Source organism: Homo sapiens, chromosome 19 (genome assembly GCF_000001405.40).
Source record: "Homo sapiens chromosome 19, GRCh38.p14 Primary Assembly".
Taxonomy (NCBI): Eukaryota; Metazoa; Chordata; class Mammalia; order Primates; family Hominidae; genus Homo; species Homo sapiens.
The window spans coordinates 45,132,162-45,149,598 of NC_000019.10; the positions used below are offsets into that span (position 1 = coordinate 45,132,162).

General features: G+C 58.2%; 1 protein-coding gene across 1 annotated transcript in view, besides 4 other annotated features; it reads left to right on the forward strand.

Moving 5' to 3' along the window:
• The window catches only part of PPP1R37 (protein phosphatase 1 regulatory subunit 37), a 54,107-nt gene extending 38,983 nt beyond the window's left edge, over positions 1–15,124 (forward strand). The window contains exons 2-13 of the mRNA NM_019121.2: positions 6,353–6,450; positions 8,075–8,120; positions 8,345–8,445; positions 9,161–9,280; positions 9,900–10,050; positions 10,142–10,297; positions 11,360–11,472; positions 12,693–12,834; positions 12,933–13,099; positions 13,192–13,888; positions 14,229–14,319; positions 14,410–15,124. Of these exons, the coding sequence (NP_061994.1) occupies positions 6,353–6,450; positions 8,075–8,120; positions 8,345–8,445; positions 9,161–9,280; positions 9,900–10,050; positions 10,142–10,297; positions 11,360–11,472; positions 12,693–12,834; positions 12,933–13,099; positions 13,192–13,888; positions 14,229–14,311 (1,874 nt within the window). The 3' untranslated portion in view covers positions 14,312–14,319; positions 14,410–15,124. The remainder of the gene's footprint in view (positions 1–6,352; positions 6,451–8,074; positions 8,121–8,344; positions 8,446–9,160; positions 9,281–9,899; positions 10,051–10,141; positions 10,298–11,359; positions 11,473–12,692; positions 12,835–12,932; positions 13,100–13,191; positions 13,889–14,228; positions 14,320–14,409) is intronic.
• Positions 3,038–3,842: an enhancer, noted in NCBI's record as "H3K27ac-H3K4me1 hESC enhancer chr19:45638457-45639261 (GRCh37/hg19 assembly coordinates)". NCBI's record gives its function as "activates a minimal SCP1, AML or CMV promoter by ChIP-STARR-seq in primed H9 embryonic stem cells {active_cell/tissue: H9 hESC(primed)}" and the evidence as "EXISTENCE:reporter gene assay evidence [ECO:0000049][PMID:30033119]".
• Positions 3,977–4,177: a silencer, noted in NCBI's record as "peak3514 fragment used in MPRA reporter construct". NCBI's record gives its function as "represses an SCP1 promoter by STARR-seq MPRAs in K562 erythroleukemia cells {active_cell/tissue: K562}" and the evidence as "EXISTENCE:reporter gene assay evidence [ECO:0000049][PMID:32103011]".
• Positions 5,449–5,548: an enhancer, noted in NCBI's record as "active region_14786". NCBI's record gives its function as "activates an Ori minimal core promoter by ATAC-STARR-seq in GM12878 lymphoblastoid cells {active_cell/tissue: GM12878}" and the evidence as "EXISTENCE:reporter gene assay evidence [ECO:0000049][PMID:35858748]".
• Positions 5,727–6,299: an enhancer, noted in NCBI's record as "H3K4me1 hESC enhancer chr19:45641146-45641718 (GRCh37/hg19 assembly coordinates)". NCBI's record gives its function as "activates a minimal SCP1, AML or CMV promoter by ChIP-STARR-seq in primed H9 embryonic stem cells {active_cell/tissue: H9 hESC(primed)}" and the evidence as "EXISTENCE:reporter gene assay evidence [ECO:0000049][PMID:30033119]".
• Positions 15,125–17,437: the final 2,313 nt, after the last annotated feature.

Below are 17,437 nucleotides of genomic sequence, written 5' to 3' on the forward strand. Positions count from 1 at the left end.
GACTTGAGCAAATGCATCTGAGCCCTGACCTTGAGACCCACACTCACACACGTGCCCACCCCCACATACTTGTGTGCACATGGTGGATTTACTGCATGCTGGAAAAACAAGAGGAATGTAAAAGCTAAGGAGCAGTTACGTATTTTTTCTTTTCTTTTTTTTTTAAGAGAGTCTCACTCTATTGCCCAGGCTGGAGTACAGCGACACAATCACAGCTCACTGCAGCCTCAAACTCCCAGGCTCAAGCTATCCTCCCATCTCAGCCTCCCAAGTCACTGCGACCACAGGCATGTGCTAATTTTTGTATTTTTTGTTTGTTTTGTAGAGACAGGGTCTCACTTTGTTGCTCGGCTGGTCTTGAACTCCTGGTTTCAAGTGATCCTCTCGCCTCAGCCTCCCGAGTAGCTGGGATTACAGGCACACACTACCACGCCTGGCTAATTTTTAAATTTTTGGCAGAGATGGTATCACCATGTTGCCTAGGCTGGTCTCGAACTCCTGGCCTCAAGTGATTCTCTTGCCTCAGCCTCCCAAGTAGCTGGGACTACAGGCACGCACCACCATGCCCAACTGATTTTTTAGTTTTTTGTAGAGACAAGGTCTCCCTATGTTGCCCAGGCTGGTCTCGAATTCCTGGGCTCAAAGGAACTTCCTGCCTTGGCTTCCCAAAGTGCTGGGATTGCAGGCATGAGCCACTACCCCTGGACCAAGTGAGCATGTATATGTGTGTGCTAAGCACTGGTTCCAGGGAGGGACCCTACTAACTCACTCACTCGCCACACGACCCTGGGAGTTAGTTACACTCATCCCCATTTTAGGGATAAAACAGTTGAGGCACGGGTCACATTGCTTTGCTCAAGAGTTTGAGTTGGGCGCTAGGATTTGACTCCAGGCAGTCTCGCCCCAGAACTCATGTTCTTTTTGTGTGTCCGTGAGAAGGAGTTTCACTCTTGTTGCCCAGGCTGGAGTGCAGTGGTGCGATCTCAGCTCACCACAACCTCCACCTCCACCTCCCGGGTTCAAGTGATTCTCCTGCCTCAGCCTCCTGAGTAGCTGGGGTTACAGGCATGCGCCACAACACCCAGCTAATTTTTGTATTTTTAGTAGAGACGGGGTTTCACCATGTTGGCCAGGCTTGTCTCGAACTCCTGGCCTCAGATGATCTGCCCTCCTCAGCCTCCCAAAGTGCTGGGATTACAGGCGTGAGCCACCGCGCCCGGCCCAGAATTCACGTTCTTAACCATATTGCAAGACTCTATATCTCAGGTGGGACCTGTGAGATGCTGTGAAGCCCACCTAAGGTCACTGAGTGTGTGAGAGAGACAGCAAAGATCCCAGCCCCATCCCTCAGGGCCACAGCTGTGCCCTAACCACTGCGCAGCCCTTCCCTTTGGAACCTGGCTCTGAGCTCCAGCCCAGGCCCTACACCAAAGCCTTTGAATGAACTACAGTCCTGCCATGGCTGTTTGGCCTTGCCTGTGGAATAGGGGTCCTGTGGCTATGCTCCCCTGGATCCTGGGGACCCACCCCTTTATGAGACTTCAGTCACTCTGCCTGGAAGCCGTGACTGACAAAGATCACCTGCTTCCTGCTGCCTTAAAGGAGACACTGGGCATCACATGACCTTTTCCATGTCCATCATGGGGTCATGTGGGCTGTGACATGGCAGAGTCAGATGGGTCCAAGCTGGCCCTGTGGTCAGACGTGGTGGACCCATCACCTCCCCTCGTGAGTCCGCATTGAGTGCAGATACTGAGGAACTGGGTGTGAAATGCCTCGGGTAGCATCTCTCATGTGGTTAGTGCTCAGTACGCCAGAGTCAGTTATTTTGACCCACGCCTGCTCATGAACTGTTTCACGCTGCCATTTTCTTCTTAGCCACCTCCTCACACCATTTTAAATGGACAGGTGTGTGTAGGGGCCCATCCTGGGCCAGCCAGCTGCTCTCCCTGCAACTTTGGACAAGTTATCGCACCTCTGCCCCATGCCGCAGTTTTCTCCTCTCTTTTTTTTTTCTGAAATTTTTTTTGTAGAGACTGGCTTTGTTGGCAAGGCTGGTCTCAAACTCTTGGCCTAAAGCAATCCTCCTGTCTTGGCCTCACATAGTGCTGGGATTGCAGGCGTGAGCCATGTGCCCAGTCTCCTCTCTAAAGTGGGAGGATACTAATACTCCCGTGATGGAAGTGATCAGGGAATTGAAGCTGTGTTTATTTGCATTGGAAGTGCTGGGGATGGGCCTGGCGGGTGTGAGTGCTGTCAGCGCGAACTTCCTCTCTGATCTGCCCATGCTGCTCTTTCTTTTTTCTTATTAATAGATTGGTTTCTTTTTTATTTGAATACATTTGGCCTCATTTCTAAGCAATAGTATTTGTAAAATCTTAGTTTTGGTGTGCTCATTCCTTTTTTTTTTTTTTCTTGAGACAGAGTCACTCTGTCTCCCAGGCTGGAGTACAGTGGCACGATCTCGGCTCACTGCATCCTTCACTTCCCAGGCTCAACTACTTGAGAGTGCCTCAGCCTCCTGAGTACGTGGAACTACAGGAACCCACCACCACGCCCGGCTAATTTTTGTATTTTTAGTAGAAGTGCATTTCTACGGCGCTTCTGTAAGCACTTGGGCGGATGTGACCTCCTCGGTCTCTGACTCTGGTGGTGACTCCTGCAAGGCCGGACCTGGTTCCAGACCCTGTAGGTGCCCAGCTGAAGGTGTGGTCTGATTGCTGTGTGGGGAGTGAAGGTTGCCAGCCTAGAAACTGGGCCTCAAGCTCACTCAGAGGCTCTTGGAACAAAGAAGAGGCACCATCTTGGCTGGGCACGGTGGCTCACGCCTGTAATCCCAGCACTTTGGGAGGCCGAGGTGGGCAGATCATGCGGTCAGGAGTTCGAGACCAGCCTGACCAACGTGGTGAAACCCCATCTCTACTAAAAATGCAAAAATTAGCCAGGTGTGGTGGCGTGTGCCTGTAATTCCAGCAACTCGGGAGGCTGAGGCAGGAGAATCGCTTGAACCAGGGAGGTAGAGGTTGCAGTGGGCTGAGATCATGCCACTGAACTCCAGCCTGGGCGACAGAGTGAAACTCTGTCTCAAAAAAAAAGAAGAGGTGCCATCCCAATGCATGAGACCGGCTGCCATTGTGTCAGGGGTTATGGTGGTATCCACCCTGATGCCACAGCCAGCTCTGGGCCAGCCTCCTCGCCCCAGCGGTGCCCACCCCCAGCTTGATCCTGGACCCTGGCAATGGTGTGACATGAGCTGCTGCTAAGCGTTTGCAGTGCTAGGCCCGGGCCGGACTTTCTCCACAAACGATTTAGTTCCGTTAGTTCACCCACCCTGTAAAACAGCTACGCTTCTCTTCCCCGTTTAAAGCTTGAGGAAGCTGAAATGTGGAGAGTTGAGAGTGGCTCCAGAGCTCCTGAGCCAGGGGCTAGGACTTGAACCCTGGCTTCAGCCGCCACAGAGGACAGCTTAGGGTGGGCCTGGCCTGGCTCCCTGCTTCACAGAGTCGATGCGTTCGCTCCTGGATGAAGCGCCTGGCACGAAGTCCGTGGGCAGCGCTGCTCTGTGTGTCTTGTGAATTCTTCTTATGCTTCTGATAGTTCCTCCAATTTTGCATTTCCTTTTTTTTTTTTTTTTTTTGGAAATGGAGTTTGGCTCTTGTCACCCAGGCTGGAGTGCAATGGCGCGATTTTGGCTCACTGTAACCTCTGCCTCCCAGGTTCAAGTGATTCTCCTGCCTCAGCCTCCCGAGTAACTGAGACTACAGGAGCGTGCCACCACACCCAGCTAATTTTTGTATTTTTAGTAGAGGCTGAGTTTCGCCGTGTTGCCCCGGCTGGTCTTGAAATCCTGACCTCAAGTGATCCGTCCACCTCAGCCTTCCAAAGTGCTGGGATTACAGGCATGAGCCACCATGCCTGGCCTGGAATGATGATTTTTAAGGCGAAACATTAAATAGGATTGCAAAGGATGCCAGTTGGAATATCATTAGCTAAATGCTCTTCCTCACTGAATTGACATGTGAAGCGATAGGATGTAGCAGCAGCTGTAATAAGGCCTTCAGTCTCAGAGTAGTGATGGGCATTCAGAATCTGCAGTAACTTGATGCAATGGGAAAATATCTGTCGTTTCTTTTCATGTCAGTCTCAAGGTCTGCTAAACACTGTTTCTTTTCTCTCTCTCTTTTGGCCTCTGTTAATAAGAAGGAAATGCTAAATTTCAGTTCCATTCATGAAAATAAAGAGATAAGTGTCTCCCCTCAAGTTCGTGGGCCCTTTGGGGGTCAAATGGTTAAGACCAGGGCATGCATGGGCTTGTCCATGGCTTGGGGTAGCTGCTGCAGTCCTGGGGGCTGCCTTCCCAGGCAGGGCAAGCTCCGGTCCCCACTAGAGCTCCAGGGTCACCAAGCACATGGGCCTTTGTCAGACAGCTCCCTTTCTGTCTGCAAGAGGGGCACCTGCCATCAGCTGATCCCCTGCAGCTCCTCCCAGGCCTCCACCCCCAAGGAGGAGGAAGTGCTCAGGCAGGGACCAGGCCTGACCTCTGGGGAGGCTGGCGGCTGGCCTCTGTCGGCTTCTTTCCTCCAGCACCGCAGTTCAGCAACCCACCGCCACCCAGCACAGTGGCCAGAGCGGAGTCCCAGGGTCTGATGTTAGACTCTGCTCTGGACCAGCCACCTGGTCCCAGGGAGACACCATACTTTACCCAGACCTCAGCTTCTTCCCCTAGAAAATGGGGCAGTGCTTGATGAGACCAGGGGTCCAGAGCCCCTGGCCTAGCAGGGTGGCAGGAGGAGGAGTCCACACGGAGATATTACTGGACTGGGAGCTCTCTCAGGGACTCCCACTGCGTCCAGCAGCAGCGGATTGGCAGCAGGGCGAGGGGCCCCCCCCCCAAGAAGCTGCCAGCAAGCCCTCTTCCTGGCCCCCTTCCCTGCCCATTGTGGCATCTCCATGCCCAATATCTGCTGGCCCGAAGATCTTTCTAACGGCCAGTCCTGACCTCTCCCTCTTCTGCTCCTAGCCTTTCCTTCCTGCTCCGCTGGTCACCCTGAGGTAAAATCCAAGCTCTAATAGCCAAAAACTGGAAACAGTACAAATTCCTGTCAGCTGGTGAATGGGCAAACACAACGCAGCACATCCTATAATTACTCTTCAGCAGTATAAAGGGACTGAAACTCACGCTCATTATGCTCAGTAAGAGAAGCCAACCGCAGAAGGCCACACAGTTTCAATTCCATTTTAATGAAATGTCCAGAAAAGGCAAATCTGTGTAGATAGAAAGCCCAGCCCTCCCTTCCGCATGGTGGCGGCTGTGGCCCTCCAGGGACCGGGGCTGCAGCTGTTGGGTTTGGGCTACGTCCCTTCATTCATGCTGGGAGCCACTGCCTGTTAGCCTGGGAACACCCGGGACCAGGCCTGTCTCTTCCAACTGCTTCTGTGTCCTGCGTCAAGGGGCCGGGCCCTGAATAGCGTACGGCGATGTTTAGCTGTTGAGAGTGTTTTGGGAGTGGGGATCCTGAGAGGCACGTGGCATTGTAGTTGAGAGCTGAGTTCAAAGCCCGGCTCGCATATATACCAGGTGTGTGATCTTGGGCAAGGTTGTTTCTCTGAGCTTGGTTTCCTCATAGGGTTGAAGTGAGGATTCATTCTTTCACCCAAAAATACAAAAATACAAAAAAAAAAAAAACAAACCAAGGACCAAGTACAGTGGCTCATACCTGTAATCCCAGCACTTTGGGAGGCTGAGGCAGAAGGATTGCTGAAGCCCAGGAGTTCGAGACCAGCCTGGGCAACATAGTGACACCCCATCTCCACCAGAAATAAAAATGATCTGGGCGTGACAGTGCAAGCGTTTGGTCTCTGCTGCTCGGGAGGATGCTTGAGCCTGGGAGGTCAAGGCTGCAGTGAGCCATGTTCTCACCACTTTACTTCAGCCTGAGCAACAGAGTGAGACCCTGTCTCAAAAACAAACAAAACACCGAGACAGTGTTGGAGACATGGTGGTGACCAAGACAGCCCCAGTCCTGTCCTCCTGGGCTCCCGGGCTAGTAGGGGAGGTGGCTGATGTGTAGAAAGATTGTGTGCTGTTCATTGTGTATTTGTGTGAAGGTGCTTGGAGCGGAGGTGAGGCGTGGAGGGCAGTGGTGACTTGGGGTGGGGGTGCCCAAGGGCACTTTACCTCGGGCAGTGGCCAGCGGGGGGCCTGAAAGGGAGGACAGAGCTCAGGCAGCCTGTTGTTGGGGGAGGGCTGAAGAGGGCAGTATGGGCAGAGGCCTTAGGGCGGGAGTGGGTGGAGCCCCATGAAGGACTCGGGGTGTGGACAGTCACAGGCCTGGGTCCCCTGTGCCTGCAGCCCAGAATGTGACCGTGGACGAGGTCATCGGCGCCTACAAGCAGGCCTGCCAGAAGCTGAACTGCAGGCAGATCCCCAAGCTCCTCAGGCAGCTGCAGGTATGGGCGGGACAGGGTGGGTGCGTCCGGTGTGGGTGTCAAGGGGGGCCCTAGGGTGGAACCAGCCCAGCAGGAGAGGGCCTCCCACTCCCCAGCCCCAGGTGTTCATGAATACATCTTTGAAAGCCTGCTGCTCAGCTAGAGAATGAATCAGTTTCTTCATAAATTTGAAGAGCACAGAATTCTATAAAGTAAGACATTCAGGTATCTGTCAGCCCCAAAAGAAACGCTGTTCCCTGGGGAAGAGGCATATCTACGATTCTTGTGAGTCTGAATTACAAAATTTATGTATTCTTTTTTTTTTTTTTTTTTTTTTTTTGAGATGGAGTCTCGCTTTTGTCTCCCAGGCTGGAGTACAGTGGCGCCATTTCGGCTCACTGCAACCTCTGCCTCCTGGGTTCAAGCGATTCTCCTGCCTCAGCCTCCCAAGTAGCTGGGATTACATGTGCACGCCACCATGCCCAGCTAATTTTTTTTGTATTTTTAGTAGAGACGGGGTTTCGCCATGTTGGCCAGACTGGTCTCAAACTCCTGACCTCAGGTGATCTGCCCACCTCAGCCTCCTAAAATGCTGAGATTACAGGCATGAGCCACCATGCCCAGCATATTCATAAAAGTCAGAATTACAGAAATAACACATATCCTCAGATTTAAAAAAATAAAAATACTACAGATCTGAAAAGCCAAATCCACCTCTTATCTCTTGCCCCAAGGCCCCCTCCTCGGGAACCCCCGTTGTTGGCCACTCGGCATTTCCTGGCCTTTTCTGTGCGTTGGCAAGGTGGCTATTGAGGGGTACCTGCTGGTTTTCCATTTGGTCGCTCTCCCACCCTGCCGGTCCCCCAGCCCCCTCCCTCGGCACCTCTCCTGTGGGCCCCGGCCTGGCGCCTAGTCAGTGAAGCACCGCTCGTTCCGAGGGTTCCAGGGTTGCCTGTCCTCGGGCTGTTGTACCCTCAGCTGTGCTGGAAGCAACCACGCTCCTTGTCCATCAGTGTTCACTGGAGTTAGGGTAGGTTCTCTGGAACATTCCAGAAGAGGGGCTTGTCAGGTCCCAGGAAGGGTGGCTGCTCAGTGTGGCAGCTGAGAGGGTGGGTCCTTGGACCCCATCGGCCTGGTTCAGACCAGCCCTGCAGCACCCACCCTGCAGGTGATGTGTGTAAGCTCAGAGCGCGGGTGCTGGCATCTGCGGGACGGTGGGTTCTGACTGGGTGCTGGGCCCCAGGCCCTGCCTTCACCAAGAAGCCTCCTGTGCCCAGCCTTGCCATCTTCCCAGGCTCATTTCCTGCCTCACAGCCTTTGCACAGACTCCCTCCTCTGCTGGGACATACCCAGAGATGCTGGGCCCACTCCCTCACTCGGTCCCGCTGGGGCAGAGGGCTTCGCCCAGGCCTGCCTGGCTGCAGTGCTGGCTGGTCCTCAGTTGTGTGGGTGCAGAGTTCTCTCGCTGTCTAAGGCCCTGTACCCCAGGTTCCAGCTGGTGGGTGGCCTCTGAGCCTCTGTTCAGTGCCTTCGCCCAAACCCCACCCCAGAACCCTGCCTGACCTCAGGCATAGCAGCCATTTGGGGCCTCGGCTGCCCCCCTGTTCAAGTGTCTTCCTGCCTTAACCCCACTCTACTTTCTCAGGAATTCACAGACCTCGGGCACCGCCTCGACTGTCTGGACCTGAAAGGTGTGTGTCTGGCTAGGGGTTGAGAGCCCTTGGGTCATGGGCAGGTCGGGGGCTCCCTAGAGCTGGGTCTGAGGACCTGCCTGGGGTTAGCGGCTTCTGGAGCTGAGCTCAGCCAGGGCAGGGGCTGGGCCTGGTGGGGGGTGGGAGGTTGGGGGCAGAGGGCCCTTCCAGCCATGCAAAGGTGCACTGTCTTAGACATGCGCACGGCTGCTGTCTCCCCCCAGGTGAGAAGCTTGACTACAAGACCTGTGAGGCCCTGGAAGAGGTCTTCAAGAGGCTGCAGTTCAAGGTCGTGGACCTGGAGCAGACAAACCTGGATGAAGATGTGAGCGGCCCTGCCACCGCCCACTTGGCTCCCTGAGCTCCCGGGCCCCTTCGAGGTTTGGGTGGGGAGAGGACACTGCAGGAGGAGGGGGTCCCCTAGACAAAGGCTGAGGGGTGGCGCAAGGGCGGGGCCTCTTGCAGGGCAAGAGGGAGACATCCAATATGACCAGAGTGGATGTGGAGGGCGCGTTGGGGCACCTATGGCCCACCCTCATAAGCAAGGAGAGCCTTAGGGAGCTGGGCTGAGGGGCAGGCGTGTGGCCCCCAGGAGCCCTTTCAGGAACCACGCTGGAGGGTCCAGCTCCTACAGGGTGGGCTTGGGAAGCATTCTGAGAGCAGCCTCCCATCAAGGCCCAAGGGCCCTCACCTCCTCAGCCTTGGGAGTCCCCAGGCACCCCAGGTGTCGGGATCCAGGGGCAGGGGACCTGGAGAACTGAGGCCCAGGCTCAGGAACACCAAGGCCTGTCCTGGTCACTCAGCACGTCAGTCAAGGACTTTGGAGGGCAAGTGACAGAAAACAAAACTGACTACAGCAGAGAAGGAAAGGGTTTGTCCCCGTGGCTCACGGGGCCCTGTCTGTGCTTGTCCTCCTCTCCCGTGTGGCTCTCTCCAGACCCTGGACCCATCGTCTCTCGGTGGGGCCCGGTGTCAGGGCCCACGCCTCTCCTCCAGGGCAGCCCAGAGCTGAGGCTGAGCCCCCGAATCTCTATGCGCAGGGTGCCTCGGCCCTCTTCGACATGATCGAGTACTACGAGTCGGCCACCCACCTCAACATCTCCTTCAACAAGCACATCGGCACCCGGGGCTGGCAGGCGGCCGCCCACATGATGCGCAAGGTGGGCGCCTCTCGGCTTCCAGGAAGAGGCAGCTCAGGCTCCCAGCACGGGGAGGCACTTTCTCAGGGCATGGCCCGTAGGCTCTGACTGCATGAGCTCTTGAGTGTGGGCTGTTGTGGGGATGCTGGGCCTGGCCCTCAGGCCAGGAGAACAGGGCCGAGAGGTGTCCTGGCCCCCAGGCCCCCTGGCCCCTTCTCTCCTTGCGAGGCATTTCATGACCTCCAACTTCTCCCTTCCGTAATGTCATCCTTCTGTAATGTCATCCCCTTGGAGGTGGCCATGGTCGCCATCCCCACGTCACTCCTGTGTGAAGGCTGGGTGGAGGGACGGGACGGGGCTATCTGGTAACCTCCCAGCCACACAGGAGTTGGAGATCCTGGCTGCCACCAGCCCTGCCTCGCTCACCCACAGGACCCCAGGCTGAGCCTTCCCTCCCCAGCCACAGTTACCCCCATTGTAAAACAAGGCGACATAGCCAGACGACAGCTGTGGCTTCGTTGCTCATTGAGACATGGGGGCACAGGTCCTGGGGCCAGGGAGTGCTGGGGCGGTCCTGGGGCCAGGGAGTGCTGGGGCAGGCCTGAGCCAGTGCCTCACCCCTGTCCTCTTGCCCCTGCAGACGAGCTGCCTGCAGTATCTGGACGCCCGCAACACGCCCCTGCTGGACCACTCGGCGCCCTTCGTGGCCCGTGCCCTGCGCATCCGCAGCAGCCTGGCAGTGCTGCACTTGGAGAACGCCAGCCTGTCGGGGCGGCCCCTCATGCTGCTCGGTGAGCCCCAAGCCCGGGAGGGTGAGCAGGATGTGCAGCCTGTTGGGGGGCAGGGGCCTGCCCAGTCACCGTGCCCCCTCCCCGTCCCCAGCCACGGCCCTGAAGATGAACATGAACCTGCGGGAGCTGTACCTGGCGGACAACAAGCTCAACGGCCTGCAGGACTCGGCCCAGCTGGGTAACCTGCTCAAGTTCAACTGCTCCCTGCAGATCCTGGACCTCCGGAACAACCACGTGCTAGACTCGGGTGGGTGCAGTGGCCCACCCCACCCACACCCGTCACCCAGCACCCACTCTGCCCGGCCCTGCGCTAGGTGGTGCTGGGGACACAGACATGGCCAAGACCACCCCAACGCTGTCCTGCTGGGGCTCCCAGGAGGAAGACAGACCCGCCCTAGACAGTGACAACCTAGAGTGGGCAGGACTGGGCTGGTGGAGCCCAGAGGCGGGGTCCGATCAGTCTGGGGGCCAGGGAGGGCTTCCAGGAGGAGGAGACAGCTCAGCTGACAGCCGCAGGATGAGGCGAAGTGAATAATTACAATCTGAAAAGAAAGCAGTGTTGCTGCCATAACAGGGTCAGCTAGAGGCTGCTTTCAGATGGGAGAGGAGGGAAGACCACCGTGGGGCGGGGCCTCTGGGCTTCCATCCGGAGGCTGGGAGCAGAACCAGCCTTGTGAGAAGCCTGGGAAAGGGTCCAGACCGCGGGAGCAGTGAGTGCAGTGGGAGGAGCTCTGGTGTTTGATGCTGGGGGTTGAGCAGAGAATGGGGAGCCGTCAAAGGAGGCGTTCCTGTTGCATCCTGGAGGGGTGGGGTGGGTCACTGTGTCCCCAGGTGGCAGGCCCAGACCCCACTCTACTGAGCACCTGCCAAGGGCCATGGCTGTCGGCCCCTGGGCTCAGCTCGGAGGGAGACACAGGGCTCTGCCCTTGGGAGTTTGTACTCCAGTCTAGAGAGACAACGATAAGATGAGTGAAATCTCCAGCCTGTCAGATGGTGGGATCTGCATTGGAGGGAGACAGTGGTGACTGTGGGTGGGAGTGAGCTGGCTGTGAGGTGAGGTGGGCCAGAGGTGGTCACATTTGAGCAAAGATCAGAAGCATCTGGTGGAGGCTGTCATCCAGGCACCCAGGCCCAGGGGTCACAGATGTGTGCCCAGGGGTGCCAGGCCGAGGCAGGGCTGCAGGGCAAGGCCTGGGACTGCGGGGCCTCCATGGAGGTCCTAAGCAGAGGGGGTTGCTCCTACCCTGCAGTCCCCTCCCCAGGAAGCACCCGGACCCCAGACAGGGCTCTGACTGCCGGCCTCCTCCAGGTCTGGCCTACATCTGCGAGGGCCTCAAGGAGCAGAGGAAGGGGCTGGTGACCCTGGTGCTGTGGAACAACCAGCTCACGCACACAGGCATGGCCTTCCTGGGCATGACACTGGTGAGTCAGGCTGGCAGGGAAGGGAGGCACCTCGGTCCCCGCTGCCACCTCCCACTCCAGCTCTCAGCACAGTTGCCTCTAGCTGACGGCTCCTGTCCTGCCCATCCTGCAGGTTCAAGACGATTTAAACTCAGCCCCACCTGCTTCCTCATTCAGCTTCTGTGCCTGTTTTCCCTGAGGAGGAGCCCTTCTTTCATTATCTCCTTTTTTTTTTTGAGACCGAGTCTCATCCTGTCACCCAGGCTGGAGTGCAGTGGCGCCATCTAGGCTCACTGCAGCCACTCCAGCCCCCGCCTCCTGGGTTCAAGCCATTCTTCTGCCTCAGCCTCCCAAGTAGCTGGGACTACAGGTGCCCGCCACCCCGCCTAGCCAATTTTTTTATTTTTTATTTTTATTTTTTTTGAGACGGAGCCTCAATCGCCCAGGCTGGAGTGCAGTGGCTCGATCTCCGCTCACTGCAAGCCCCACCTCCTGGGTTCACACCATTGTCCTGCCTCAGCCTCCCGAGTAGTTGGAACTACAGGCACCCACCACCACACCCAGCTAATTTTTTTGTATTTTTTTAGTAGAGAGGGGATTTCACCATGTTAGCCAGGATGGTCGCAATCTGACCTTGTGATCCACCCTCCTCGGCCTCCCAAAGTGCTGGGATTACACGCGTGAGCCACCGCGCCCGGCCTAATTTTTGTATTTTTAGTACAGACGGGGTTTCACCATGTTGGCCAGGCCGGTCTTGAACTCCTGACCTCGAGTGATCCCCCCCACCTCGGCCTCCGAAAGTATTGGGATTATGAGTGAGTCACCGTGCCTGGTTTTCAGTTTTTATGTGGTGCTTAAAGCAAGCCACTCAGGTACAGAGACTCTCAGGGCGAGCACTCGTGTGCTCAAACCCCGGGATAAGAGTTGCCCTCCTTGGGGGCTTCAGGGCGCTCAAGGTCCAGGCCCTGGCCAGGGGCCCAGGCTGTGGGGGGTAGGGACTGACTGGGTGCCTGGGGAGCTGGGAGTGGACGGGGGACCTGGCATTTGGGGAGACTTCAGGCACAGGAGGGACTTCAGGCCAGGCCTGCGGCAGGGCAGGACGGCGCCGGTGTTCACGCAGGCGCGCGAAAGAAAAGGAGCGCCCGGGCCTGGCTCTCTTCCCGGCTTCTTTCCTGACTTGGCCTCCTGGGTCTCCTCCGCCATCACGGCCTCCTCCTCACCCTCACACCCCCTCCCTCCAGCCGCACACTCAGAGCCTGGAGACGCTGAACCTGGGCCACAACCCCATCGGGAACGAGGGTGTGCGGCACCTCAAGAACGGGCTCATCAGCAACCGCAGCGTGCTGCGCCTCGGGCTGGCCTCCACCAAGCTCACGTGCGAGGGTAGGGTACGGGGCCGGGCCAGGGTGCGGGCTGGTGGGCTCAGCCGGGCGGCCAGCCGGGTGTGGGGCCCGTGGCCAGCCCCTGCGGTGCCCCCCCAGGCGCGGTGGCGGTGGCGGAGTTCATCGCTGAGAGCCCCCGCCTCCTGAGACTGGACCTTCGGGAGAACGAGATCAAGACAGGCGGGCTCATGGCACTGTCGTTGGCCCTCAAGGTGAACCACTCACTGCTGCGCCTGGACCTCGACCGTGAACCCAAGAAAGAGGCGGTGAGCAGGGGACGGTCCTGCAGCCCTGGGGCGGGCGGAAGGCCGGGTGGTGGGGCCGGCCTGAGAGCCCTAGCCAGGCGCTCCCGCCACAGGTGAAGAGCTTCATCGAGACGCAGAAGGCGCTGCTGGCCGAGATCCAGAACGGCTGCAAGCGCAACTTGGTGCTGGCGCGGGAGAGGGAGGAGAAGGAGCAGCCGCCACAGCTGTCGGCCTCCATGCCTGAGACCACCGCCACCGAGCCCCAGCCCGACGACGAGCCCGCCGCTGGGGTGCAGAACGGGGCCCCCAGCCCCGCACCCAGCCCGGACTCAGACTCAGACTCGGACTCGGATGGGGAGGAAGAGGAGGAAGAGGAAGGGGAGAGGGACGAGACCCCCTGTCCTGCCCTGGTGCCCCCCACGGACTCCCTGGGCCCTGGGGACAGGAGTCCCCCAGGCAGCCCCTCCACACCCACCGAGCAGCGGATTTCCGTGTCCAGCCCGGGCCGGGGCCACAAGGTGTTTGTGGTGACCCGGGTGGAGAGCCCGCCCGAGAGGGCAGAGCCCCCTGCGTCCCCCACCCCTCCCTCTCCCCCACCCCCTCCCTCCCCACCCGCCTCACCTTCCCTACCACCAGCCGGGGCCATTGACACCCGGGACACAGGGTCCTCTGAGCCTCAGCCACCACCGGAGCCGCCTCGGTCAGGGCCACCACTGCCCAACGGCCTGAAGCCCGAGTTCGCCCTGGCACTGCCCCCTGAGCCGCCCCCGGGGCCTGAGGTCAAGGGGGGCAGCTGCGGCCTGGAGCACGGTGAGAGGGGCCCTAGGGCAGGTGTTGAGGGGCCCTGGGTGCTGTATGTGACCCCAGGCAAGCCCCTGCCTGTTGTGGACCTCAGTTTCCCCCTCTTTAAAATGGTTCTCGCAGGGGCCAGCAAAGTGGGGCTTAGTTCTCATCTCCACCCTGCTTCCCTTGGGTCCTGGGAGCTCTTCCTGGGGTGGGGGGGCATGTAAGGTGTGCTGCCTTGAGCCTGACCATCTCAGCGGTCTCTGGGCACTCTGCAGGCCCTGAGGGTCTGGCTGGGGCCGGGCTGGGGACAGGTTGTATTTGCCCCACCCGCCTGACGGGGGTGCTGGCCCGTCCTCCCACACAGAACTGAGCTGCTCCAAGAACGAGAAGGAGCTCGAGGAGCTGCTTCTGGAAGCCAGTCAGGAATCCGGGCAGGAGACACTGTGACACTTTAGGTGAGGCCAGGCCCGGGGCCCACAGCACTCGGGAGGAGCTGAGAGAGCCTCTGGCTCTGACAGTCTCTCCCCCAATCTCTCCTCCCCAAGTTCCCTTTTTCCGGTCGGTCTGCGATGAGCTGAGGCCAGAGCCATGAGAATCTGCTCACCTTCCCCCCAGCCTTCCTGAGGCCCAGGATGCCAGGGGTGGGGGCCATTCTGGGGCCCCCCTCCCCCCACAGCAACACTACAAGGGGTGCAGGAGCTACAGGGAGTGGCCCTCCGCGCGTGACTCAAGCACTTCTATTTATGAGCCCAGCACTGGAAGACTCTGGGGGTGAATGGGAGGAGGGGGAGCAGGAGGAGGAGGAGGTCTCCAAGGACATCAGGCGCCTGTTCTGGAGGGGCCAGGCTTGCCCTGCGGAGGGCAGGCGTCCTGGGTGGTGGTGGGATGGTCCCCTGTGGCCCCGGGCACAGGGCCGGGCAGGCAGCCTGGTGCCGGAGAGGCGGTGCGTGCTGGTGGTGGTTGAGATGCACAGAACAGCCCCAGACAGCGCAGGCCGGGCAGGGTGGGGGGATGGGAGCAGAGGATCAGAGCTTTCTTTTTCTCAAGTGCAATAAATCTATCAGGGAGCTGGGGCGGGAGCAGCCGGCACTCCGGGACCCTGCTGTCCAGGCCACTGGAGGCTGCGCCCTGAGAGGCACTACAGCCCTTTGGGGGCGAGTGGCATGGGTGTGGGTGAGGGTGGGCAGAGGGCTGGGGCTACTCCTGTCGGTGCAACTCTGTTCACACCTTTTCTAATAAACTGGGGCTGGGTTCACTTTGCCCAACGTCTGCTTCGTGCGGATCCTGGAGGTGGTTGCTGGGGGTGGGCTGGGTGGAGGCCATCACAGCTCCTGGTTACAGAGCATCTGCCAGGGCACTGGTCAGGCATTACTGCGTCTTCCCCCACAGTCCCGTCTATTCTGCATCCATGCTCTGGTGTCTCGTACGGTCACCTCCCAGCCAGGCGAGTTTACACCCATCCTTTCTGCAGGGAGAGACAGGCCCCAGATACCTCCTGGCTTCAGGTCTAGGGTCTCAGGATGCTGGATATGGAGTGGCTCTGCCCAGTCGCCCATCGCTCAACAGGAACAGATCCCAGCCTGTCCCTGGCAGCCCCAGGTGTTGTGCAGGTGGGAGTATGCCCCGGGCCCAGCCAGCACTGCAGGAGCCTGGTGGGCGGCTTGTTCCCCTTTGCCAGCAGGGGCCTGGGGGGCCATGGGGGTGCTGTTGCGGATTTCTGAGAGGTCTGTTTTTCCCTTTAGGAAAGGGGGGAGCAGGCCGGGCATGGTGGCCCACACCTGTAATCCCAGCACTTTGGGAGGCTGAGGTGGGAGGATTGCTTGAACCCAGGAATTTGACACCAGCCTGGGCAACATGGTGAAACCCCATCTCCATAGAAAATACAAAAATTAGCTGGGTGTGGTGGCGTGTGCCTGTAGTCCCAGCTACTGAGGAGGCTGAGTTGGGAGGATCGCTTGAACCCAGGAGGTTGAGGCTGCAGTGAGGTGTGATTGCACCACTGCACTTCAGCCTGGGCAACAGAGTGAGATCCTGTCTCAAAAAAAAAAAAAATTACTAAACGAGCATTTCTGGGCCACCCATCCCCTTGTTTCCCGTGTGGGAGGCTGACATGGATGGAGGCGTTGTGGTGACATCACGAGAACCACAGTCGCAGGCTGGAGCCCTGGTGTCATTCAGCTCCTGCACACACCAGGGAGTCCCCTGCCCCCAGCCACCCTGGCCTCTGGGAGGAACACCTTAGGAAGCCACTGCTGGTTTGCTGTTTGGTCCCTTGCAGCTGTAAGTGTCCTAACTGCTCCCCAGGTCAGCCACGGCTAGGACTCTTATTTGGGCGAGGGACTTAGGGAAGCTACACAGAACAGCCGCCAGCAGCCCGCAGCACTCTTCCCATCCCTGCACAGCCAGCTTGTCCCCAGCTCTGCTAATGTGCGATGTGGCCATGGGTGAAGGGAAGAAGGGGCCCCCTCCTGGCCACTGTGGATCCAGCCCGTCTTGGTGAGGGGCCGGGGCATGTGAGGTGTTTGCATCAAGGTACTGAGAGACCTCTGTCCTTCGCCTGGTTTGGGTCAGCACAGTGCCCCAACGATCTTCAGAGGCCCTTGGTCGATATTAGCCGTTGCTCATGGTCTCAGCCTCTGTGGAGGCAGCTGTGTTGGGGTCTCACCCAGCCCGCTGGCCGTCTGCCTCCCCACCCCATGTGAGGTATGCTAGGGGAGGGACAGGGATCCTCTTCCCAGCCTGTCCCTTGATTTGCTTTCACTAAATTGAGCTTGGAGTGAGGAACTGGGCCTTTCTTACTGTTGGGGGTTGAATTGTGTCTCCCACAAAAAAAGATGTTTGTTTATTTATTTATTCATTTATTTATTGAGCTGGAGTCTCGCTCTGTTGCCAGGCTGGAGTGCAGTGGCGCAATCTCGGCTCACTGCAACCTCCGCCTCCCAGGTTCAAGCAATTCTGCTGCCTCAGCCTCCCGAGTAGCTGGGAGTACAGGCGTGCACCACCACGCCCAGCTAATTTTTGTACTTTTAGTAGAGACGGGGTTTCAACATGTTGGCCAGAATGGTCTCAATCTCTTGACCTCGTGATCTGCCCACCTCGGCCTCCCGAAGTGCTGGGATTACAGGCGTAAGCCACTGCGCCTGGCCAAAAAAAGATCTTTAAAGTCCTTACCTCCAGTACCCCAGAATGTGAGCTCACTTAGAAATAGGGTTTTTACAAAGGTAATCAAGTTTTAACTCATTTTAATGAGGTCACTCGGGTGGGCCCTGCTGCAGTCTGATTGGTGTCCTTATTAAAAGGGGCATTTGGGCACAGGGAGACTGCCACGTGAAGACAGAGGATGGGGTGATGCCTTTGCAAGCCAGGGAGTGCGGAGATGGCCAGCAATGCACCAGGAGTGGGGAGCAGGCACAGAGAGCCCCTCCTTCATCTGGAACTTTTAGCCTCCAGAAGCGAGAGACGATACATTTGTCCTTCAAAGGCACGTGGTCTGTTAGACTGTGTTAGAGCAGCTCTAGAAACCACAGCCGTTACCACAACACCCCAGCCTGCCGCGCTCCTGATTTTCTGAAG